Source organism: Homo sapiens, chromosome 5 (assembly GCF_000001405.40).
Source record: "Homo sapiens chromosome 5, GRCh38.p14 Primary Assembly".
NCBI lineage: Eukaryota > Metazoa > Chordata > Mammalia > Primates > Hominidae > Homo > Homo sapiens.
In genome coordinates this window covers 55,409,368-55,435,370 of record NC_000005.10, presented here as the reverse complement: position 1 = coordinate 55,435,370, position 26,003 = coordinate 55,409,368, and the positions used below count along the sequence as shown (strand labels likewise).

Below are 26,003 nucleotides of genomic sequence, written 5' to 3'. Positions count from 1 at the left end.
CACTGCACATCTCCCTCAGCATACTTCCCCGGATTAGGCCCCCTTTTCTGCATTTCTCTGGTGGCTGGACTAATTTATATTCCGAGCAGCAGTGTAGAAGAGTTCCTTTTCTCTGCATCCTCAACAGCATCTCTTAATGTTTTTTTGGTCTTTTTAATAATGGCCATTCTAACTGAGGTAAGATTGTGGTTTTGACTTGCATTTTCCTGGTTAGTGATATTGAGAATTTTTTCATATACCTATTGGCCATTTGTACGTCTTCTTTTGAGAATTGTCTATTCATGCCCCATGCCCACTTTTCAATGGGAGTATTTGGTTTTCTACCGTTGAGTTGAGTTCCTTATATGTCCTGGATATTGGCTCCTTGCTGGATAAATACTTGGCAAATATTTTCTCCCATTCAACAGACTGTCTCTTTATTCTCCTGATTGTTTCCTTTGCTGTGCAGGTTTTTAGTTTAATATAATCCCATTTGTCTATTTTTATTGCCTCTGTGTTCAAGGTCTTAGCCATAAAATCTTTGCCCAGACCAATATCCTGAAGCGTTTCCCCTATGTTTTCTTTGATTAGTTTTATCGTTTCAGGTCTTACATTTAAGTCTGTAATCCAACTTACTTGAGAGATAGGGGTCCAATTTCATTCTTCTGCATATGGATATCCAATTTTCCCAGCACCATTTAGTGACGAGACTGTCTCTATTGTATGTTCTTGGTACCTCTGTCAAAAGTCAGTTGGCTGTAAATACGTGGACTTATTTCTGGTATCTATTCTGTTTCATTGGTTGCTGACGAGTCTGTTTTTATACCAATACTGTGCTGTTTTGGTTATTATAGCCTTGTAATATGAAGTCAGGTAGTGTGATGCCTCCAAGCTTTTTTTCATTTTGCTCAGGATTACTTTGGCTTTCTGGCTCTTTTTTAATTCTGTATGAATTTTAGGATTTTTTTTTTCTATTTCTGTGCAGAATGTCATTGGTGTTTTGACAGGGGTTGCATTAAATTTGTAGATTGCTTTGGGTAGTCTGGTCATTTTAACCATATTAATTCTTCTGATCCTTATGCGTGGGATATCTTTCCACCTGTTTCTGTCTTCTGCATTTTCATTCACCAGTGTTTTGCAGTCTCCTTTGTAGAGTTCTTTTACCTCCTTGGTTAAATAGATCCCTAGGTGTCTTTTTTTCTTCTTCTTCTTTTTTTGTAGCTATTGTTAATGGGATTGCTCTTTTTTTTTTTTTTTTTGAGACAGAGTCTCACTCAGTCGCTCGCCCAGGCTGGAGTGCAGTGGTGCGATCTCGGCTCACTGCAACCTCCACCTCCTAAGTTCAAGCGATTCTCCCTCCTCAGCCTTCCCAGTAGCTAGGATTACAGGCATGCACCCGGCTAATTCTTGTATTTTTAGTAAAGACAGGGTTTCACCATGTTGGCCAGGCTGGTTTTGAACTCCTGACCTCAAGTGATCCACCTGCCTCGGCCTCCCAAAGTGCTGGGATTACAGGCGTAAGCCACAATGCCAGGCCTGACCTCTTGATTTCTTTCTCTGCTAATTCACTATTGTTGTATAGAAATGCTAGAGATTTGGGGGCATGGTGCCTCACGCCTGTAATCCCAGCACTTTGGGAGGATGAGGCAGGAGAATCATGAGGTCAGGAGATCGAGACCATCCTGGCTAACACAGTGAAACCGTCTCTGTTGGAAATGGAAAAAATTAGCCAGGTGTGGTGGCACGCGCCTGTACTCCCAGCTACTTGGGAGGCTGAGGCAGGAGAATTGCTTGAACCTGGGAGGCGGAAGTTGCAGTGAGCCAAGATCGTGTCACTGCACTCCAGCCTGGGTGACACAGTGAGACTCGGTCAAAAAAAAAAAATGCTAGAGATTTTTGTATGTTGATTTTATATCCTTTAACTTTACTGAATTTATCAGATCTAAGAGTTTTTTGGTAGAGTCTTTAGGTTTTTCTACATATAAGATCATATTGTCTGCGAAGACGGACAGTTTGATTTCCTGTTATACAACTTGGATGCCTTTATTTCTTTTCTTTTTTTCTTTTCGAGACTGGGTCTCCCTGTCACCCAGGCTGGAGTGCAGTGACACGATCTCAGCTCACTGCAACCTCATTGTCCTGTGCTTAAGCAGTGATGCTCCCACCTCAGCTTCCCAAATAGCTGGGACCACAGGCACATGCCACCAATCCTGGATAATTTTTTGTATTTTTTTTTTTTTTTTTTTTGTAGAGATGGGGTGTCGCCATGTTGCCCAGGCTGTTGTGAACTCCTGACCTCAGGCGATCTGCCCGCCTTGACCTTCCGAAGTGCTGGGATTACAGGTGTGAGCCACCACACCTGGTCCGTTTATTTCTTTCTCTTGCCTCATTGCTCAGGGTTAGGTCTTCACTGCTATGCTGAATAGGAGGGGTCAAAGTAGGCATCCTTGTCTTATTCCAGTTCTTAGAGGAAAGGCTTTCAGCTTTTCCCTGTTTAGGATGGCGTTAGTTGTGTGTTCATGCAACATTTATCATGTTGAGTTATGTCCCCTTCATGCGTAGTTCCTGTGGACAGGTTTTTTTTTTTTTTTAAATCATGAAGGGATGTTGAATGTTATTAAAAGACTTTCATCACATTTGAATGTGATGTGTCACATTTATTGATTTGCCTATGTTGAAACCTCCTTGCATCCCTGGGATAAATCACACTTGATCGTGGCATATCTTTTTGATGTGTTGTTGAATTAGGCTGGCTAGCATTTTGTTGAGGATTTTTGCATCTGTGTTCATCAGAGATATTGGCTTATGGGTTTCTTATGTTGCATCCTTGTCTGTTTTTCGTATCAGGGTAATGCTCACCTCATGAAATGAGTTAGGGAGAATTCCCTTCAATTTTTTGGAATAGTTAGAGGAGAATGGGTGTTCTTCTTTGTAAGTATGGTAGAATTCAATAATAAAGCCATTTGGTCCTGGATTGGGACCAAATGGGAGACATTTTATTACTGATTGAATCTCATTACTCATTATTGGTCTGTTCAGGTTTTCTATTTCTTCCTGATTGAATCTTGGAAGATTGTATGTATCCAGGAATTGATCCATTTATTCTGGGCTTTCCAGTTCATGCACAGCAGTTAGCAGTAGTCTCTGATAGCTAGGCATGGTAGCTTATGCCGGTAGTCCCAGGACTTTGAGAGGCCGAGGTGGGAGATCCTTTGAAGCCATGAGTTCAAGACCAGCCTGGGCAACATAGCAAGACCCTGTCTCTACCAAAAAAAAAAAAAAAAAAAAAAAAAGAAGAAAAAGAAAAATTATTCATGCTGGCATGCTCTGTAGTCCCAGCTACTCAGGAGACTGAGACGGGAGGATCACTTGAACCCAGGAGGCTGAGGTTACAGTGAGTGATGATCACGCCACTGTGCCCCAGACTGGGTGACAGTGAGACCCTATCTCCAAATAGATGATTGGAGATAGATGTTCTTTTGTATTTCTGTGTTATCAGTTGTAATGTCTTTTTCATTTCTGAATTTATTTGGGTTTTCTTTTTCTCTTGTCGATTTCGTTTATCCTTTCATAAAAGCAACTTTTTTTGTTGATCCTTTGTACTTTTAAGAGTTCATTTTGTTAAGTTCTGCTCTGCTCTTTAGTATTTTTCTTCCACCAATTTTAGGTTTGTTCTTGTTTTTCTACTATCTTGAGTTGCATTGTTAGATTATTTACTTGAAATCTTTCTAGATTTTTGATGTGGGCGTTTATTGGTATTAATTTACCTCCTAGCATTGTTGTTGGGTTTCGGTATGTCCTGCCTCTATTTTCATTTGTTTCAAGAAATTTTTTTATTCCTTTAATTTATTCCCTGACCCAGTGGTCATTCAGGAGCATGTTGTTTAATTTTCATGCATTTGTACAATTTCCCAAGTTCCTCATTATTCATTTCCAGTTTTATTCCATCACGATCTGAGAATAGTTTGGCTGGTGGGGTTTATTTTTCTTTCAGCACATTCAATACATCATCCCATTTTCTCCTAGCCTGTAAGGTGGCTGCTGAGAAATTCACTGTTAGTCTGATAGGTGTTCCCCTTCTAAGTGACTTGATACTTTTCTCTTGCTGTTTTATTCTCTGACTTTTGACAGTTTGACTGTAATATGCCATGGATTTTTGAATTGCATCTATTTGGGGTTTTCTAAGCTTCCTGTGCCTGGGTGTCTAAATCTCTTGCTAGACTTGGGAAGTTTTCGGGTATTACTTAATCAAATAGGTTTTCTATCCCTTTTATTTTTGTTTTCTGAGACACCAAAAATTTGAATATTTGATGACTTTATGGTGTCACATATGTCACAGAGCTGTTGCTCATTCTTTCTTATTTTTGTCTGGGTTCAAAAGACCTAATTTTTGAAGTTCTGAAGTTCTGCTTGATGCAGTCTATTGTTGAAACTGTTGGATCTATTTTATATTTCATTCAATGAATTCATCAATTTCAGAATTTTTTTTTATATCTATGTCTTTGGGAATTTTCTCATTCATATCCTAAATGGTTTCTCTGATTTCTTTGTATTATTTTTCTGATTGCTGTTTTCTTGTATCTCACTGAGCTTTTTCAATTTTTTTTGAATCATTATTTTGAATTCTTTTTCTGAGATTTCACACATTTCTTCATTGGAATCTGTTGCTACAAAATTACTGTGTTCCTTTGGAAGTGTCATATTTCCTTCTTCATGTTTCTTGAATCCGTATTTCGGTATCTGTACATCTGGTTTAACAGTCACTTCTTCCAATTTTTTGAATTTGCCTTCATAGGGGAGGATATTTTCCTTAAGATATATCTGTGGTGTTGGTCGGGTAGATCACTTTGGCTTTGATTCCAGATGCATGCAATAGTGTAGTCTCAGTATGATTTCTTTGGCTGTAAAGTTATCAGTTGTGTGTGATTTCCTCAGTGGCTTAAGTTGCAGTTTTTAATTGCTGCAATGAAGCATTTGCTGGAGATGGGAACATTAGGTGGGCCCATCCTCGAGCCCCAGGAGTGGCAGCAGCAGGCTGAGCATGCCTGTCCTTGGGCCCTGGGGCAGTGTATGCTGGCACTGATGTTAGAGGGTCCAGGTGGGCTGATTCTTGGGTCTCCAGGAAGCTTGCTTGGATGCCAGCAGTAGCACGGTGGGAAGGTCCTCGGGCTTGCTGCCCATAGACAGCAGGTGTGGTGCGGGCAGTGGCAGGACAACCCTCTGATTCCCAAGTGGTTTGCGCTGGTGGTGGTGGTGACCGTGATGGGCTGGGTGGCTAGTCCCCAGGCCCATAGGTGGTGCATGTGGGTGGTGGTAGCAGCAGGTTGGATGGTCCCTTCCTGAGGCCCCTGGGAGGAGTGCTCAGGTGTTAATGATAGGTGCACCCTCCAACGCCCGATGGTGTGCTTGGGCATAGGGGTAGGTGGAGCCGGGCTGGATAGGTCCCTCAGTGGTGTGTATAGGGCTTGGCTGTGGTAGGTAGGGGTGTTTTTGTGTGGCAGCAGTCATAAACAGGTGGGTTGGGAGCATGCACTTTGGCCCCAGATGGTATCTGCAGGACAGGGTAGCCTGTAATCAGGCTTGACAATGCACAGTGGCTCTGCTGGCTCACTGCCAGTAGCTTGTATACTTTGGCCCTGCGGCAGCACCCAGCTGTGGGTGGGGGACTTTAATGGGGCTTCAGAGATGTGGATATGCAGGGGCTGTTGGGCCTCAGGGAATGATGCAGTCTGCTGGGGGTGGGGCTCTCAAAATGGTGCCCTGCTGTAGCTGCTTAGGACTCGGGGGGATGAGCTCCCTCTCTGGAGCAGTGCCATCATGCAGTCCCCAAGTTCCCTGTTTGTGTGGGTTGAGGGTTTCTTCCATGGCTGGGATTGCAGGACTTCACAATGGGAATGCGGATGCTGACTGTTGGGGGTCACTTACCCTTCTCCAGCATGGGGGAGCCTCCCCAACCAATCCCTGCCAGGTACCCTGCCTTGCTTCCCTCTCCTTACTTGCCTCAGGTGTTTCCTGTCATTTTGGTGGTAAATTCCAGCATTCTCTCTTAGGTGATCTATTCAAAGTGTGATTTATCTACTACTGTTTTGGTGGTTCTTCAAGCAGAAAGCAAGTACCAGGGGCACTTTAGTCAGCCATCTTGAAACCACTCCATTGTTTTCTACTAAATGGCTTGCTGTCCTCGACCATAGCTTTTGCTTCCTCCTAACTTTAGTTTGCAAATAACCTATTATGTACCCATTAGGCATCCTTCCTACTACTTTTGAAATTAGAGAACGCCTTCATACTTCTGGTATAAATTCCAGAGACAAAATACAGCCCAGCAGGTCTCTGGGTGATGCCTGGTGTAAGTCATCTAGTCAGTGCAGGGAGATGTGGGTATGCAAGGAGAAGGCAGGGCTATGTGGTCCAAATAGGACTGACTGTGAATGGGCAATTCCACCTAGAAGGGGAATTAAAAGTAATAATGTTGCTGCCGAGCCTGTCTGGTACCACACACTGTATTGGACATACAGCTCTGTTAAGTTCCTACTCTTAAAAGAGAAGTAACTAACTGAATGCCTTACCTAGAATGGGTTTAATAGATAAGGTTGGCAAATGGCATGTATGGGGAGGAGAGAAGAGTGGAATCTGCAAAGGAAGGAACCTATACAGCCTTTTTACTATTAGCCTTGGCGCTGAAGCATGAGCTGTGTCCCCTGTATCTAGTTCTAATAGAACAGTATTGAGAAGCTTCAGACATTCAACTTTTCAGTGGCATTTAGGGAAAGCTAAAGTAATAGACTTTCTTTTAAAGGAAGTCATGTCAAGTGTTTGCTTTGCCCAGAATCAAAGTAGAGCCACCAGAAAGACACTACTTTTTAGCTTTGTTGAACTTACGCATATAGGAAACTTTTGCTGGCAAGGTGGGAGGGGAAAAGCCAGTCCGGATTTCTGGGCATGTCAGCTGTGGAATTCAAGTTTACCCAAGGTCTGAGAAATTCAGGGTGTCCACTTTCTTGAGCTCTACAGAAATGGAAGTCTTCACAGAGCTACACCGAGTACCCTGACCCAGGGAAACGCAGTATGGGCACATAGGAAGCACACTCAGGCCATGCCTGTTTGTCACTAGAGAAGCCAAAGCCTAGAGCACAAGGTTAGGTACAGAACCACAACTGGGGCATCCCAGAATTCTCACGGTGAAATAATTTCTGGGTCCATGGTCAGAGTTTCACTGATGGGGGAAACCTCTATTCTTGGGTAGATGTGTAAGGAGAAAAACAGCTATTTATAGGGGGAAAGACTTCACTTAGAAGTGTTGGAGCGAGCTGGGTGTGGTGGCTCATGCCTGTAATCCCAGCACTTTGGGAGGCTGAGGTGGGTGGATCACCTGAGGTCAGGAGTTTGAGACCAGCCTGGCCAACACAGTGAAACATCGTCCCTACTAAAAATACAGACAATTACCTGGGAGTGGTGGTGAGTGCCTGTAATCCCAGCTACTCGGGAGGCTGAGGCAGGAGGATTGCTTGAACCCGGGAGGCGGAGGTTGCAGTGAGCCGAGATCGCACCACTGCACTCCAGCCTGGGCAACAAGAGGAAAACTGTTCCCTGCTTCCCCCTCCCACATCCCCCCCCCCAAAAAAGTGTTGGAGCTTAGTTGATTATTGATAATGTTAAGTAAATGTTAATTCTTTTCACTGGCATGTTGGGGAAGAAATCTGGAGAAAATAATATTCAATATGAGTTTGCAGGCTATCTACAGTGAAAGTCAGGGTTGTTTAGAATGGAAATATTGCTACAGGGATTTTAGAATCTTAAAAGAGGAAAGACCTTGGAGTCCTAGCTCTGAGTTTCCTTCAGGTTGGAAGTAGCATGGGACTAGCTTAAGTCCATTCTAGAGTTGCTATTTTTGATTTGACTACTTACTTTTTTCACAGCTTGAACAACAAACAAAAATAAGGATTCTGCAGAAAGCCAGTGGTTCTTAAACTTGCTGATGAGTCAGACTCAGTTAAACAGCTGGTGTGCTCTTTTAGAACTAGATGGTTTATACTAAGTACTTGATAAAATTAGATAAGCCCTGGGTCTTTGCCAGCTTTTGGTGACTGAACACCCATGGCAGTGCCCAGAGAGCTGGGAATGGATTTGTGTCATCTATTTTAAATAGGCAGTGTCCATGGGGAGAGCTATGTATATTGTTTTCTAAGGACTGCATTTAATTTAGTCTACGAGTCATATATTATTGAACAGAATTTTAAAGGGAATGTTATAAATTATATTGTTATTGGATAGAAATTAGGTAGTTTTCTTTTTTTTTTTTTTTTTAATGAGAGCAGACTCCCTAAAAAGAATCATTTCTACATAAAACCTTCAGAGATGCACCCAAAGTCAAAGGCAGACTGACATGAGAAAGGGGAATTTCTTAGGTCCGATTAGTGTACAGAAAACTCATAGAACTTAACTTAAAGGGGATACAAGTACTGTTGAAAGAATACACTTCTTGGCTGGATCATAACTAAACTACAACCTATATTACTTGCAAATACAGATTATTTAGTCTCAGTTGCCTTGTTAAACAATTTGAGGGTAGAAGAGCTCTCTTTGGTTAATTAATGAAATAGTCCCTAGATAGGCCCAGAGCAATGGCAACCTGTGCCCAGAATGCTAGCACTTTATCCCAAGACTCAGAACTAACCACGATACTGGGTCAGGCATGGTGGCGCATGTCTGTAATCCCAGCACTTTGGGAGGCCAATGCAGGCGGGTTACTTGAGACGAGGAGTTTGAGACCAGCCTGGGCAACACAGTGAGACCCCCATCTCTATAAAAAAAAAAAAAAACCAATTAGCTGGGCTCAGTGACATGTACCTATAGTCCCAGCTACTTGGGAAACTGACATGGAAAGATTGCTTGAGCCCAGGAGTTTGAGGCTGCAGTGAGTATGACTACACCACCACTGCACTCCAGTCTGGGCAACAGAGCAACGCCCCATTTCTTTAAGGAAAACAATAAAAAAACCAATGGCAGCACTGGTCTTGACTATGAGAATTATAACCCAAATTGCAAGGGGAGGAACTGTCCCTGAAATCCTGTTTAGAAAGCCATAAACAAGGAAACACCTGTTTGTATACAGTTTGAAGGGTGGTATAGCTAGACTGGCAATAGATTCTTGTGAACAAGTTAGTAGGGCAATAGTTTTGTTTCTTTAAAGGATTAACATTTAGGTAATAATGCGTACGTGAATGTTTGCCTAGAAGTCCTGTTCCCTATATAATAATACTTTGATAATCATTTCAAATGCCAACCCTTCCTTAATATAAAAGTTTTGCGTTATGTTAAATAAACTATTTTTTTCTTTATTCTTTTCTTTTAGCTTTATCTTCAAGCCAGGATGAAGGGAGACTGGGCAAGACTCTTACGCCCCACACTGCAATTTGGTCTTGTTGCCGTATCCATTTATGTGGGCCTTTCTCGAGTTTCTGATTATAAACACCACTGGAGCGATGTGTTGACTGGACTCATTCAGGGAGCTCTGGTTGCAATATTAGTTGTAAGTATACAGGTCAACAGCCTACATCTTGATATTGCTAAACATTTATATAAGTAAATAGAAAAAAAAAATCCAAAAAATCCCCAGCTGAGGAGAAGACTATGCAGTGGGCAAGAATCTCAATGTTATTAAAAGTCACTTCAGGATACACACCAGGTTAAAAACTAGGTTGCTCTTTCTAAAACTTAGTAGTTTTGTAAAATCTTAGTATTTTTATTGTGAAAGGCTCTGGCTAGAAATAGTTTTTTTAGGGGATTATGACTTGAAAAAACTAATTCACATGTAGAAATAACTCTTTTATTCAGTATTGGCAAAATGAAGCTATTTGCTGAAGGCATAACAAAGCAACTCTTAATTTGGAATAATCTTTAAAAAATCCCAGTTAGTCTCTAATTTTTTATATGCTTAATCTGTACACCTCAAAGTATATCCTTTTGTTTATATTTATCTTAGGATGCTGTTGATCACAACTTTGTATGTAGTTTTTAACTTGATCTAAATTATACCATTAAATATTTTGCACTGTAGGCTGTATATGTATCGGATTTCTTCAAAGAAAGAACTTCTTTTAAAGAAAGAAAAGAGGAGGACTCTCATACAACTCTGCATGAAACACCAACAACTGGGAATCACTATCCGAGCAATCACCAGCCTTGAAAGGCAGCAGGGTGCCCAGGTGAAGCTGGCCTGTTTTCTAAAGGAAAATGATTGCCACAAGGCAAGAGGATGCATCTTTCTTCCTGGTGTACAAGCCTTTAAAGACTTCTGCTGCTGCTATGCCTCTTGGATGCACACTTTGTGTGTACATAGTTACCTTTAACTCAGTGGTTATCTAATAGCTCTAAACTCATTAAAAAAACTCCAAGCCTTCCACCAAAACAGTGCCCCACCTGTATACATTTTTATTAAAAAAATGTAATGCTTATGTATAAACATGTATGTAATATGCTTTCTATGAATGATGTTTGATTTAAATATAATACATATTAAAATGTATGGGAGAACCAAATCCACACTTGCAGGCATTTGTAGTCAACTGTAATCAAACAGGTGGTCAATAATTTAAAATCTCACATTCCTTTAGCTGACTCTACAAGTAGAGGCTGGCAGCAAACACAATATCTCTCTTGATTTTGGTGATTCCTAAGAGAAAAGAAAGTAAGGTTTAAACTTTCAAGACCACAAAACACCTAACTTGCCTCTACCGAAATTTTAAAGCCAGTATACCAACCCTGATTCAACTGGTAAGCGAGCAGCCTAGAAAGTCAAACACCTTGCTGAACACCTAGAGGAATTTGCAGCCACCTCTGTGAGGTGGAAAACATACAAGCCAGACCCCTGTTCTTTTGACTCTGAAATACTCCATGGGGGCTGGCCAGGAAAGAGGTGTCTAGAACTGTTTAAAAAGATAAATGCTAGGTCGGGCGCAGTAGCTCATGCCTGTAATCCCAGCACTCTGGGAGGCCAAGGCGAGCGGATCACCTGAGGTCAGGAGTTCAAGAGCAGCCCGACCAACATGGAGAAACCCCGTCTCTACTAGAAATACAAAATCAGCCGGGCGTGGTGGCGCATGCCTGTAGTTCAGCTACTCAGGAGGCTGAGGCAGGAGAATCGCTTGAACCTGGGAGGTGGATGTGGAGGTTGCAGTGAGCCGAGATTGCGCCATTGCACTCCAGCCTGGGGCAACAAGAGCGAAACTCTGTCTCCACACACTAAATAAATAAATAAAAATAAAAATAAAAAAAATTATAGGGAAGGACTAAACTGTCTAAAGAAATGTAAAATCCAAAGACTTGGATTTTCAACCTATATCAGAAGACACTTTTTTTTCAGTTCCCATGTGAAATTCTTTCTAGGCCAAGGAAGGACAAATACAAATTTTGATTACAAATTATTTTTAAAACTTTGACACCTACACTTAAATTCTGAGTCATTAAACAGGCCTACATTTATCAACTGTGGAAATATCAGCCAGTTTTTGCAAACCTCTTCTTAGGACACTAAGTTGTTTGCAGAAATCACTAGCATTGACTGACTCAGCAACAATGTGGTTATATTCTTTGATTAACTTAGTCCTTTTTCTTGGTCAAGAGTCAGTAGACAGGACTGAAGCTTATGCCCCTTGCCCCCCCACCACCACTCCATTACTACCACCTTGGTTTAGCCATCCTTTCTTGATCTGTTCTCCCCACTTCTACTGTGCTACTCTACAGACTTGCCCTGAATGTAAGAGCAACAATTACCTTGTAAAGTCCAAGTTGGGGCAGGTCACTCCCAAACTCCACACCTCCAGTCACTGCAGAGTTGAGAAGCCTGGGGCTGGGAACTATGGAATCATTTCCTTTCTCACTTCAACCCCTACTCCTCTACTCACTGCCCATTCTGCTCCAGCCACACTGGCCTCTTGCTGGTGTTCACGTACATCAAGCATACACCAAAGGCCTTAACTGCCACCTTCCCTGTGGAGGCCCTAGACCATCATATCCATCTGCCAATTCTATTGTCTTTTCTGCTTTGTTTTTATCTTACAGACTTATCACCATCTGATAAATTTAATTGTTGACTTATTGTCTATCTCCCCACACTAGAATGTAAACTCCATGAAGGCAGGGGTGTCTTTTTGTTCACTATATCCCCTAGTGCTTAAAACAATGCCTGGCATGTAGTTAGCGTACAATTAATATACGTAAATGCATGTATATATAAAATCTCAACTTTTCCCCCAACACACTAAATTTTATAGAAACACTAGTAGATAGCTCTCCATGACAATGCAGTGAAGAACATCTCAAAACGTCCTCCTAGGTTGTGGTCCAGGGCTCAAGATTTGCTTCACCAAATTTGTCTAAATTAGAAACAGCTTATCCATTTGATACTGACCTTCTGCAAATTTATTTTCCAGCTCAGTGTTTCCAATGGCTTTTGCTGCTTGACACATTTGTCGAAGCAATTCTTCCAGGCGCCTCATACAACGAATTATGCTGCCTGGATAGAAAAGGAACAAAACACTGGTAAAATGGAAATAATCAGGAACAGCAGAATTTTTGTTAAGAGGCAAGGCAGGAGAACACACGATAATTAATAGTACTTTGAGGGACTTCCCATGAAGTAAATCATGGTTAGGTACTGGAGAAAGCTACAAAGATGAAAGGCTTAACTCCCACCTTTGACTAATGGTAGAGACACCTGTTTATTACTAACATGCTGACACTTGGTATTAAGTAGGAAAACAAAATGCCCTAGAAGGAGGGAGCAACTTTGGGTGAAGGCTGCAAAGATGACATAATCTGTGTCTGTAAGAACCAGGCAGTATCTCTCAGGCAGCAGCAACAAGGGAAGGACCACCACGACAATGCAGAAAAGCCTGGCAAACTGCAGCTATTCAAGGACCCTGAGTGTGGCCTAGTGAGGCATCTGGACACCATCCATACCATCTCATAGAATGCAACAGACTGTTTTTAGCAGGAGAGTAACAAGATAAAACTTGTCATTTTAAAGGTGCATTCATTCTTCTTGACCTTAGATTCTTTCATTAGTACGTTCTTTACACAGTGTTCTCAAGGAGCACAAGGAAAGAAGCCTTTTCCCATGGGTCTAGAATCTGTTTGAGAAAAGTGTTTGTATCAAAGCTGAAGCTATAAACATAGTTTCACTTTTGCTAGACTTGTGCAAAGAGGAGCAGAGATTGTGAGATCCTTTCTCTAAGTGCTACCTGCCTAAATCTAAAACGCTTGACTTCATTTTTAATATATGAAATACATTAGGAATACCAGTTCTCAAAATGCAGTCTGTAGGAACAATGAACTATTTACACTATTAACAATTATTAAATTAATAATAATTATTTGTTATTTCTATTCTCAGCTGCTAGGAATGCAGGCTCCAATACTGCCTTGCAATGAAACAGGAAATCCAACTGCAGAAACTTCTGGGTGTCAAGAGAGAGGGTAGGAATTGGGATAGAGAGGGTAATGTCATATTACCTATGCAATCAGATATTAAATGTTTATGCAAACAAGTATATCCAAAGATAATTAAATTAGGTAGTGGCTCAAAATGTAACTAGATTTTTACCTGAGACCAGATTCTCACAGGTCATTTAGGATTGAAATGAAATCCTTTACAAAGTCCTCTGCTGCACAGGGCATTAAAGAGCCAGACACATTCTCAAACATTGTTTTGACTGACTTCAAATGTGTACCAAGAAACACAATGTGATATTATTATTTCACAAATTTTAGTAACTCGTGTTAACCAGAATCTGTGAAAGTTATCAGAGACCAAACCATACGAAGTAAATTACTAAGATAAAGAATAAACTAAGGCAAGTAAATGCACATTCAGGCCAGAGAGCACTGTCATGTCACATTTTGTAAACATTTCGACTCAATTTCTGGAAACTTTAGTTTCGACACAGTTTCAGGTAACAAGCAAATTAGGCCAGTAGGCACAAGGTTGCATATACAATGACTGTGGTTGTTGCCCACAGAGTCTCATCAACAAATCACTGGGTATGTGCACAAACACTAACTGTCCAGAGCTGCCTGAAACATAGAGGCTACTCCCCCCAGGGATTAATGAAGACTGACGATTAAGTAGTGAATTGTCTAGCATCTCTCCTACCTACTACAGTTCTCTGTAATCCAAGGGCTCTTCTTACACCCACCTTTATAAGTCATCCTGCCTCATCAGCCTGACTAAGTGCTAGACAAAAGTTTCAAAGCCATGACCCATCATAGGCTAAATGAAGCTGACCAAAACCGAAACAAAACAAAACCACATTAACCTACTGGTTTGTTACAAAATTTTTTTTTTGGTCCTGCCAGAGTAGAAAGAGAAATCCAATTCTTTCTAGTTATTGTCTTTAAAAAATTTTTCAAATAGTGGTAAAATATAAAACATAAAATCCACCTTTTTAACCATGTTAAAGTATACAAGTCAGTTACTGCCCTTTTTTATATTCAGGTTTACTACATTCTGGAAGAACTCACATGGAGACAGAATTCACACACCATAAATTATTTTAAATAAGTGTACAACTGAGTGGTTTTTAGTATATTCAGACTTGTGTAACCATCATCATTATCTAATTTTAGAGCATTTTTACCACCCCCAAAAAACCTTGTTCCCATTAAGCAGTTACATGTCTTCCTGTCCCTCCAGCCCATGGCAACCACGTCTATGCTTTGTCTCTATGAATCTGCTTACTCTGGACATTTCATATAAGTGAAATTATACACTATGTGGCCTTTGTGTCTGCCTTCTTTCAACTTAATGTGTTTAAGGTTTGTCCATATTGTAGCATGAGTCAGTATGTCTTTTCTAACTGAAAGCTGTTCCATTTAATCTTTATTACAATGGAACACCTTGCCATTAAAAATGGCAAAAACCACAATTACTTTGGCACCAACCTAATATATACCACAATTTATTCATCTATCGATGGACACTTGGGACTATATGCTTTTATTTAAGAGCATTTTAATAAACATCAGCCTTACCCGGTTGATGAACAAAACAGCATCATTCTCATTAAGGAGAGAAAGCAGCAGATTTTCCCGAACAGAACTTCTGCCTTCAGCTTTCTGGCATACCCTAAAGCAGTTTCCTACAGTTCATGCTCTGACCCGAATTTAATACTCCTATCCAGCCTGGCCTCAGGTTAGAATCACACATGTATCTTGCAACTACTTGCCGCTAAACCCCAGCTTAGGCTGAACCCTTTCTTGAGAGCAGAGACTATTGCTCACACTGTAACTAGCATGGTGCCTGATTCCCACTAGGGTCTCAGAATTATTCATTAAACGAGTAAGTATCAGGTACTAAAACTGTGCCAAAATGTAAAGACAGAAACAATTACTAATAAATTGTTACTCTATTATTATCAGCAAGAATACTTTTAAAAGACAAATCCACTGGAAAACCACTCATGACACTGATGATGCTAAGAAAGGGTTAAACTGCTACTTGAAAGGCATGTGAGAGAATGTGTGTGGTGGGGAGAGTTGAGGAATGCAATTCACAGTATTTGCTTTCAAAACATGTGGCATACAGAGGGAGCAGGACTGAAAAAAAATAAAAAGCATATGGCAGGCAGAGGTACAGTAAATAGTTTCAAGAGATAATTCATCATAGAAGCTTTCCTAATGACACTTGCTCAGTGGAAAGCAAATCCTTTGTCATCCTTCATAGTTAAGAGTACAATATTGTTTATGTAGAGTCAGAAATAAATAGTAACAGCCTCTGGATTACTTGACTAAAACCCTAGGCATCAGCCCATACAAATAGTTTGTTTAAACTGTCATTCAAATTTAGTTTAATGGAAATAAAAAACAGCTAAATTCTGTCATTTTTTTTCCAGGGTGATAACAGAATAAATACTTAGTCTTCAAAATTTCTCAACTGAATCACAATATGAACTTTTCTTTTGCATTACACATCCCCCAAACACATGGTTTTAATCATTACAGTGTTAACTAGCCTCAGTTAATGTTTGAAGAATACTTAAAACTACTTCTGAGGCTCAGGATATGAAATGACCAGACACTTTTATTTTCATATGAAAAGAAAATTAAGAATCTTATTAGGAACAAATATGGTTTGCACACAGCACATTAGAAAGTTCCAATGCAATTATTGTCTGCCTGTAAAAACAGACACACTGTACTGTGTGCTACAGCTTTGATTACAGTATTTTTCCAATCATAAAACATGTGTAGGCCAGCTGCAGTGGCTCATGCCTGTAATCTCAACACCTTGGGAGGCTGAAGCAGGTGGATCACTTGAGCCCAGGAGTTTGAGACCAGCCTAGGCTTCATGGTAAAATCATATCTCTACAAAAATTAACAAAAATTAGCTGGGCATGGTGGTACATGCTTGTGGTCCCAGCTACTCTGGAGGCTGAGGTGGAAGGATCACTTAAGCCCGGGAGATGGAGGGTGCAGTGAGCCAAGATCACGCCACTGCACTCCAGCCTGGGTGACAGAGCCAGACCCTGTTGCAAAAAATAAAAAACAACCACATACAATAACGAGATGAGGAAGGAATGGCTATTCTTGAAATGGAAGCACTATGTAACACTGTAAAAACAAAAGAGAGAAATACTATCCTAAGAAAATGAAGGTTCTCATTTTTTGCTACTTAAATCAAAAAATAGTTTTAAGGGCGAATACATAGTATATCCCAATTTTTAGAAAGGTTTAAGCTCATCTACTGGCTCACACACAAGAAAAACATAAAAATTATGCAGATGTTAGATCTAATTTCAAGTTAGAGCTAAAAAACTGGATTTCTCAAATTTTCAAACTGAAATTTCAAGCAAACTGTGATGTAGAAATAGCCCCTGAGTAACTGAAAGAGGACAGAACAGACTTCAGGAATGCTGGTATGCTGTGGAAAAAGTCAACTCATAGGTGGCATCTAGTATGAGCTACAAACCATCTTCAATTTGGCAGTTTAGGATTTATCTTCCATACTGTGATAACTTCTACTTAGGTAGAAAGAACAGAAAAAATAATCCATAAAGACAATTTTATATGAATTCCTAGATTTAAAAAAAAATATACTCATCTGACAGGCCAGGTCTACTGCCCTTGCTTTTTACTTTTCTTTTTTTCTTTTTTTTTTTTTGAGATGGTGTCTCGCTCTGTCACCCAGGCTGGAGTGCAGTGGCACAATCTCAGCTCACTGCAAGCTCTGCCTCCCAGGTTCACGCCATTCTCCTGCCTCAGCCTCCCGAGTAGCTGGGACTACAGGCTCCTGCCACCACACCCAGCTAATTTTTTGTATTTTTTGTAGAGACGGGGTTTCACCGTGTTAGCCAGGATGGTCTCGATTTCCTGACCTCCTGATCCGCCCGCCTCGGCCTCCCAAAGTGTTGGGATTACCGGCGTAAGCCACCGTGCCTGGCCTGCTTTTTACTTTTCTAAAAAAAATAAAAAATAAAAATAAAAATAAAAAAATAAAAAAAAGCTACTCTCTGCCATGTACCACTATTGTTTTATGTCATTGTGTTCTGACTTTTCAGAGAAGCAGATATTATACAAATATGAGTATTGTATTATCAAGTCTTATTATTAGGCATTGAACAGTTACTAGTTTCATCCTTATGTTCCAAAAAGATGTCAGACTGAAGACTGGTGGTGCTCTATGTGATCGCCCTAGTGCTGCTGAAACACAATTGTCATACACCAACCTGTGCTCCTGTTTTAAGCAATTTTCATCAGTGAGTACGCAACATCCCTCTTCTCACTGACTCGGCTAAACACCATTAACTAATTAGAGATGTTGCTAAACATCATCTAGGATTAAGACCTGTTTAGTATTACTCCAAGCATGACTTTTCTGTGGATGGAGATGGTATAGTCTAGTGTAGGGTTTAAGAAATTTTCAGGTGATCCAAAATTTAAGGATAAGGTGGTATGGTGCTTAACTGAACTTACATGTAGTTACAGAGACCAGAGTTTAAATCATCGTGCCCTCACATCACCTTGGCCAAACTGTTTACCATAGTCTCCTTGTGCAAAGTGGAGATAATATCTACCCTGAATTGCTATTTGGTGATTACATGTAAATTATACAGAGCTCTTAGCACAGTGTTTGGCATATAGTACTTACTGGGCAATGACTTTCCCAGTAACAGAATACAGAATTCAAAGGATGCTTTGGGACTGTTTGACTAAATGATCATTTAGAGGAGGCTGAGAAGTTTATAAACCTTAGAAAAAATATGTAAGATACAACACCATAATTTAAAAATGTGCTATAAACTTTAACATTAAAAACCTTAAAACCCATAAAGTTCAATGTAGTAAAGGCCCTCAGTTTAAGTTTTTAATATTCTGTTGCAGAGAAGTTTAACCTATGCATCATAAAAATAACTGATTCATAAAATCAGTAATCTATTACTTCTTTAATAATATCAGTTGAAAGGCCTATAATATTTGGCATGTTAAACATGTAATTTTTCTCAAACTAAACCTATAAGCAATAGTAGCAGTTCTTATTATAATCTCTATACAGAACAAACTCATTTATTTTCATTTTTAGGAAAGTTCAATGTAAATTATCTCATTCAGTAAATACAACTGGCCATTTATAAACACACAAACCAATCTTTTCCTACTGAATGCAGCATTTTAAAATATGGTTTCGTTTAAACAGTCTACTTATTTTTTTGCTTCTTATTATTCACTTATTCCTTATATTTCTTTTGCCTTAATTTTTTCATTTAAAATTTCTCTTCAGTTGAGTAACAATTATTCTTCAGTCTCTTAAAATCCTGCTCATTAAATTTAATCTGATTCATGCTGCAATAACAGTCTGACTAAAGCCAAGTCAATTACATATGCAATGACTGATCATTTTCAGCTCTGCTATTTTTAGTGGAATTATATAGCTCACCAGGAGAACAAAAGTGAAAAGGAAAAATACCCACATAAATATGACTTCTTAGGGTCATCTGCTTGTGACTGTAGAAACTCATAGAATTACAACTGCACAGAATTATACAGTTTAAAATAGTTTCTAAAGGACTTTCTAATGAACAGACTATGCTTATTAAATAATACAAAGAATTTGTGGAGAATATTTTTTAATCTATATAATAGGGAGAAGATTTCATTTAGTTACCAAATATTAAAAATACATATTATACTTGTTTAATTAAAACAATACCATCCTAACTGTATTTCTTATACTGTAAATATATATGTGTAAAATTTAACCATACCTTCAAAGACATCTGTCATTTTGCAGATATGGGCAAATGTAGCTCCAGTTGCCCAGGTATATACTACATCCATTAAGTGAGGTTTAAATGAGCTTAGATAAGTTTCCTCATCAATTTCCAATTTGGCTTCTGCTGAAACTTTTGCAATTCTTTTAGCACATTCCTTTAAAGATAAAAGAGTTAAAATTCCTTACTTATGATCTCCCATATCACTTTATTCTTTAGGTTTCCAAGCCAGTATTCCAGGAGGTCCCTTTTTCTTCCTAGGTATTATGTCTGCAATGTGGACATTCTGCTCCTAAGTAGGCACAGTGCCTGTTCCATTGCTAAGTGATTAAACGGCCAATCTTTCCCATTATGTTGAGGTAGTTAACTAAGAAAAATGTATCAAGAGCATGCTTTTCAGCCAGTGATACCTTTTCAACAAAGAAACAGAACTCTTCATTAAAATTATTCAAGAGCAGCATTTAACTAATCTCTAATTATTTCATTACAAAACAGATTTAGAGAAATACAAATCCTAGAGCAAAATACATTTTTCCACAACAATGCTTAAAAATGTACATATCTTCATATTGTTTTCCTCTAAGTTGAGAAACTTCATTCTTCTTTACTTGGCAATCTAAAAGGCCAAAAACTCCTAGGCCTATGAAGACTTTGCTGGTTCTAGAAATTTAAATTTCTTAGTGATTTTAAGGCATGTTACATGTTCCACTGAACTGGCCTTTTAATTTTAATCAGAATTTTTTGAATTATTATTTTAAAAATATTTTAACTTTTATTTTAGGCTCAGGGGTTCATGTACAGGTTTCTTATCTAGGTAAACTTGTGACTCAGGGGTTTGGTATATAGATTATTTAGTCAGCTGAGTACTAAGTATAATATGCCACAGGTTTTTTTTTTCTTTTTTCTTCCTCAACCTCTCCTTCCTCCCACTCTCCTCCCTCAAGTAGGCACCAGTGTCTGTTGTTCTGAAGGGGCCCTTTTATGACACATTTTTTTGTTCCTCTCTTGTAATTCCTTAGCTCATCTTTCCTTGTCTTTGTCTAATGTTGAACAGACAGAAAAAATCGGCTTATCCTATGAAAATAGTAAGAGAGAAATTTATTACTATAAACTACTGTGGCTTTGAGGATCCAGAGACAATTTCTTATGATAAAACAGATTTTAAAACTTTGTTATAGGCTGGGCACAGTGGCTCACATCTGTAATCCCAGCACTTTGGGAGGCCGAGGTGGGAGGATCACATGAGCTCAGGAGTTCGAGACCAGCCTGGCCAACATGGTGAAACCTCGTCTCTACTAAAAATACAAAAATTAGCTGAGTGTGGTGGCGGGTGCCTGTAATCCCAGCTACTCAGGAGGCTGAGGCAGGAGAATCATTTGAACGTGGAAGGTGGAGGTTGCAGTGAGCCCAGATCACGCCACTGCACTCCAGGCCTTGGTAAGAGAGCGAGACTCTGTCTCAAAAACAAAACAATAAAACAACCAAACTTTGTTATAAACCAGAATGAAAAAATGTGCAAAAAATTAAAAATAAACTAAATCCTAGTCCTTCAAGATACCATTATCAGTACTGAGGAAGAAAATGACACATGCACTGAGCTGTCAATACAGCCTATTTACATTATGAAGCTTTTAATCTCTGTTCACAACAATGCTATACAGTTCATTACAATAATGGGAAGAAATACTGTTTAATTATTAAAGTAAAAATCACAAGAGATGTTATCAGAGTAACATTAAATTACATGACTGACATCAAGTAACATTTAATCCTTATAGGTTATCTCTGTGAAATGATAAACTACTATGATTAGATTATCAAAAATGTTTATTTTACAATCTACTATTCATAAAATATGTAGTTCAAAAAAAAAAAAAAAAAACCTTACCTGCATTTGACGAAGTGGTCCTGCTAATTGTTCTGTTAATTTGGGCATCTCACTAGACTATAAAAGAAAAGGAAAACAAGATATAAAAACCCACGTTTAAAGTTACTGGTTTTTCACACTACCCGTTTTAACAAATTAAAGCTTGTAAGATAGTCACATATCAAATTATAAGACCTTAGTCATCAGCATTTAGAGTTTCTAATCAATTCAGTTTACACAGGCAAAATCACTATTCCTCTCATCCCAAATTATAATATTCTGTTATTACATTTCAGAGGAAAATACACCGCTAAATTTGCAAAGTGTGCTAACTAGCTCCTTTTTGTGATTACATATGGAACTGAGGGAGGGTAAATATTGTAAACATACATAGTAGTTTAGTTACATCAACATTAAAGGGTTTTATCATAGTTTAACTTTGAAACAGTTTTAGTTTCTAGGCAACTTTCAATCTGTAGAAACTGAAAAGTTTGAAACTGAAAACTCAGGATAAAGTACGTTAAAAATAGTGTCCCTAATTTTTATTTTACCCAGATGTTCTAACAAAGTATAAGACAGCTAAAAGTTTAATCTGAGTTTCAGTATTCTTAGTATTGCTTTCCCACAGCTGAAAATTCTGTCAATTTCTGAATTAGATAATGGAGTTTCAGGTGTACACTAAGTAGCCAAATTAAGTTGGACAAGCTGCTTAAATTCTGTGTACTGGTTTTCTGCCCTGTCAAAGAAAAATAAAACCAGATCCTCAAAATGAGTAGGCTTATGATGAGAATAACAGACATTATTTGTGAAGAAATTTTTGACAAAGGTACTGTACAAAAATAAAATTACTATAAGAATGATATGTATGTATGTATGAGACAGGGTTTAATTAAAGTAATTATGGCTATTTTTTTTTTTTTTTTTGAGACAGAGTCTCGCTCTGTTGCCCAGCTGGAGTGCAATGGTGCAATCTCGGCTCACTGCAACCTCCACCTCCCGGGTTCAAGCGATTCCCCTGCCTCAGCCTCCTGAGTAGCTGGGATTACAGGAGTGCCACCACGCCCAGCTAATTTTTGTATTTTTAGTAGAGACGGGGTTTCACCATGTTGGTCAGACTGGTGTCGACTCCTGACCTCATGATCTGCCCGCCTCAGCCTCCTAAAGTGCTGGGATTACAGGCATGAGCCACTGTGCCCGATCGCTAATTTTTTTTTTTTAAAGCAATTGTAGGCTAGTTGCGACATATCTGCCTTTATTTTAAGCACCAGTACTTATAAAGGACTTGATTTTGATTTGCAACATGTATATATGTATAATAAATCAAGAACCAGATTCCATATTATTGCTGCTAAAACCAAAAATTATTGATGAATGGCAAAAAAGCAAAATAGCCAGAATGACCTTAACATCTCAGTTTAATAAAGAACCCAAGACTGCGAAATGTCTTTGATATTATGTCTATTCATGGTCAACAGCTACTCATCACATTCCTCTCTGCTATTCACTATAGGTGGAAGGCACCAGTCCTGATGTGAGGAGGTTAATTGTGATTTTAACAATGTTCTCCCACCAGGTATGTACAGTTTGTTCCCTCATCTCTCCTATAGGCCTCAATATAAGTTTCACTTCATTAGTGAGGCCTTTTCTAATCATCTTATTTAAAATAGTAACACCATCTCCCCAGTGATCTTTGATTCTTCTCACTTTTCTCCAAAAACCTTCACCCCTATTTGACAGAATGTATGTGTACTGTATTTCTTTATCTTCATCCACTAACATGTAAGTATCAGGAAAGCAAACATTTCTGCTGCATCTCTGGTGCTTAGACCTGTACACTGCCCACATTGGGTGCTTAATAAATTTTTGTATGCACTTGATCTTTATATTATAAAGATTTACATAACCTTTTAAATATTATTTTTAAAATGTAGAGACAGTTTTATAAATACATTTTAAAATAGAAGTTATTATATCAAGCAAATTTCATCTTACTTATAACAAGTATTTTACTATATTTACTAGAAGACAATGTTCTTTTTGGCAGAAAACATTCTGTTAAAAGCATCAAGAAAAATCCACATGACAATCAGTACAATCTTCCATCTCAATGTTAAAAGGCGCCACCACAAGAATTGATGACACTGTATATAAAAAAGTGTGGTTTCACTGAATAAATCTTAACTGTATATATTGACATCTTGCCCCAAGATTTAAGAGCTGTGGTTTAGCTTAACCAACTCCTTTGAAGAGGGAATATAATTGGCTTCTCAGAAAAAGGAACTATTGTAATAGTGCCAAAATATAAAACAACAAGAACATGCAAATAATGAAAAGTAAGACAAAATTTGACATGGGTGGAAGACCACTTATCCCCAAACTATTTACAAACCTACATCTCTGAACCTTCCTATTCCAAGTAAGTTTGACAAATGTTCTTAATTATCTTTATCTTGGAAATTGATATAATAAAATTTTGAGCCTAAGGAAAAACAAACACAATATTTTGTAAAGTAATGCATTCCTTTTGTATGCATATTTCATAGATGCATGGTAGGCAATCCCAGGAAAGCATAAACTGTTTTTGGATTATTGTCCTATTTGTTATCATTGCCACTAACAGCTGTGATTCTAATCAGTAATCAGGGACCTGAGAAAAGTACCCATCTACTTCAAGAAGTAATATATTTGATCTGATTAATAAATATGGAAACAGTTAACAGGTAAACAGACCAATTAAGTGTGGTTTCACTGAATACATCTTAACTGCATATACGGACATCTTGCCCCAAGATTTAAGAGCTGTGGAACTTAAAAAAAAACTAAACAATTTGTTCTACACAATTTACTTAAAAGTTAAACTAAGTATGTATAGTAAAAGGTCCTCCAAAAATTTAGAATATTAAATTATTTTTAGAAGGCAGATGTCCTTGTCTTATTCTCATTCTATCCACTTCATCTACAATAAATAAAGTCTTAAATTTGAAATGCAAAACAATATATCTTACTTTTAAAAATGAATCAAACTGGTTTTTGGAATGCAGTACAAGGATAATTAGTGTTCTTATGTGTTCCACCCAGCACTTCATTTTTTGATTTCTTAAGAACTGTTGAAAGTGAACTAATTACTCATATGAAAAAAACTGCTGCCAAACCAACAAGGATCTTATATTCACTACCTCAAACCGTGCCCATGAAAACTAATGTTTCAGTTCCTAGCAGGATGGACTGCTTCGTCATTATTCTTCAACACCGGGGAGGAGAGTTAATTCAACCTCACTTCCCCCTTTTATTTTTATCAGACTTTCCTAGTTTTCTTCTCACTCATCTTTTTATTTCTAGGACTGTCTAGGACTTGGCCAAATGTTCAATGAATTGGGTTACAGAACAAATTTAAAACTTAAAATCTAATTAATGGTGATTGTTGACAAATCTTATTTTATTCTCCTTTCTAATAATACGTATTTAATCATTTAATTTTCTTAGTACATTTGTGTTAAAGTTGCTGTGATTTCCAATTAACATTACCTTATAATATGTAAATATTAGTAATATTTGATAATATAGCCATAACACTATTAACTACATGATGTGTGAATTAATAAATAAGATGTGCTGAATCAATTAACTTACATTCTCTTGAAACACAAAGCAGCTTAATAATGCTGTTGCCTGTTCTGCAGAAAGGTCATTGAAAAGGCCATTAAACATCATCTCAGTTAGAAGGAGCTCATCAGCACTACAATGGCAAAACAAAAGAATAAAATGTCAGAATATAAAGACACACATGCACACACATATGCCCTTAACGTGTAGTTTTTAATAAAATATATTATTTGACCTTAAGGAGTAATCAATGAGGAATGACAATGATTTATTTAAGGACATAGTAGATCTTTAATAATTACCAATATATTATATAATCAATGTAAAATGGGGATTTCACATAAAGATTCCAAATATCAAAATGCACACATTCGTGAAATAAGAACAATTTCTTAACCTTTAGTATGCTAGGAAAAATCATCACTGTCATTTATTTTCTAGGGCCAAAGGACTCTTTTAATTATTTTTCAGTTATTTTACAAATAATCTGTAGAATAAAGATAATGAAAAACAATTTTACTAGAAATCTTAATTAGAATGTACTCATAAGAAGAACCACATTTTTTTATTTTTATGTTTTAATTTTTTAAAGTTTTTATATTATAGTAGAGATGGGGTCTTGCTATGTTGTCCAGGCTGGTCTAGAACTCCTGAGCTCAAGTAGTCCTCCCACCTCGGTCTCCCCAAATGCTGGGATTACAGGTGTGAGACACTACACCTGGCCAGAAGACTCACATTTTAATTCATATTTTCCAAAGGCTGAAAGTGTATATAACCAAGATGGGCAAGAGCCTTTAAATGCAACAAACTGCTGCTCACCAATTGTCATCCACAAATCTGAAAAATATCCATCTAGGAAATACAATTCTAGATTTCAAGTACATCTCTAACAGGTAGGTACTAGCTCATCACTACGTCTGTTTCTTCTTGCACTTGCACTGTCAAAATGTACAAGTCCAGATTTACATCTCTTTTAAGTTCTAGCTTATTACTTTTGATTCCTCTTTTGCATCATCAAAATACAGTTTTTTAAACTGACAACTTGATTTTGTTGAGAGGAAGGTCATCTTCTTTGCTCCATAATTGTGAAACATTTTCATATACAGACTTATAAGGACAATATATTTATTATTACAAAGATTAGAATGATCAATTCAACAGGTTTTAAAAAATTTCTTCATCATCTCTTTCCAATTTCCTTATATACACAACTGTGTATTTGACCACTTGTGGACCATATAAGGAAACTTTGGTGCACAAATAATAAAAGATGAAAGACTATTATTACA

At 38.2% G+C, this 26,003-nt stretch overlaps 2 protein-coding genes across 5 annotated transcripts in view, besides 1 other annotated feature; one reads left to right on the top strand and one right to left on the bottom strand.

Annotated features, from left to right (window-relative positions):
• PLPP1 (phospholipid phosphatase 1) overlaps positions 1-10,517 on the top strand; it is a 110,111-nt gene extending 99,594 nt beyond the window's left edge. For all 4 annotated transcript variants that reach the window (NR_103485.2, XM_006714724.4, NM_003711.4 and 1 more), the window contains 2 exons: positions 9,332-9,508; positions 10,037-10,517. Coding sequence is in view for 3 of the 4 variants with exons in the window: in XM_006714724.4 (XP_006714787.1) it covers positions 9,332-9,508; positions 10,037-10,165 (306 nt within the window). In the remaining variant the exon portion in view is untranslated. The remainder of the gene's footprint in view (positions 1-9,331; positions 9,509-10,036) is intronic.
• The window catches only part of MTREX (Mtr4 exosome RNA helicase), a 117,591-nt gene continuing 101,379 nt past the window's right edge, over positions 9,792-26,003 (bottom strand). The window contains exons 23-27 of the mRNA NM_015360.5: positions 24,742-24,847; positions 21,133-21,189; positions 19,239-19,401; positions 12,389-12,493; positions 9,792-10,651 (exon numbers count right to left, since the gene is read on the bottom strand). Coding sequence (NP_056175.3) covers positions 10,599-10,651; positions 12,389-12,493; positions 19,239-19,401; positions 21,133-21,189; positions 24,742-24,847 — 484 coding nt within the window. The 3' untranslated portion in view covers positions 9,792-10,598. The remainder of the gene's footprint in view (positions 10,652-12,388; positions 12,494-19,238; positions 19,402-21,132; positions 21,190-24,741; positions 24,848-26,003) is intronic.
• Positions 14,016-14,135: a silencer, noted in NCBI's record as "silent region_16015". NCBI's record gives its function as "represses an Ori minimal core promoter by ATAC-STARR-seq in GM12878 lymphoblastoid cells {active_cell/tissue: GM12878}" and the evidence as "EXISTENCE:reporter gene assay evidence [ECO:0000049][PMID:35858748]".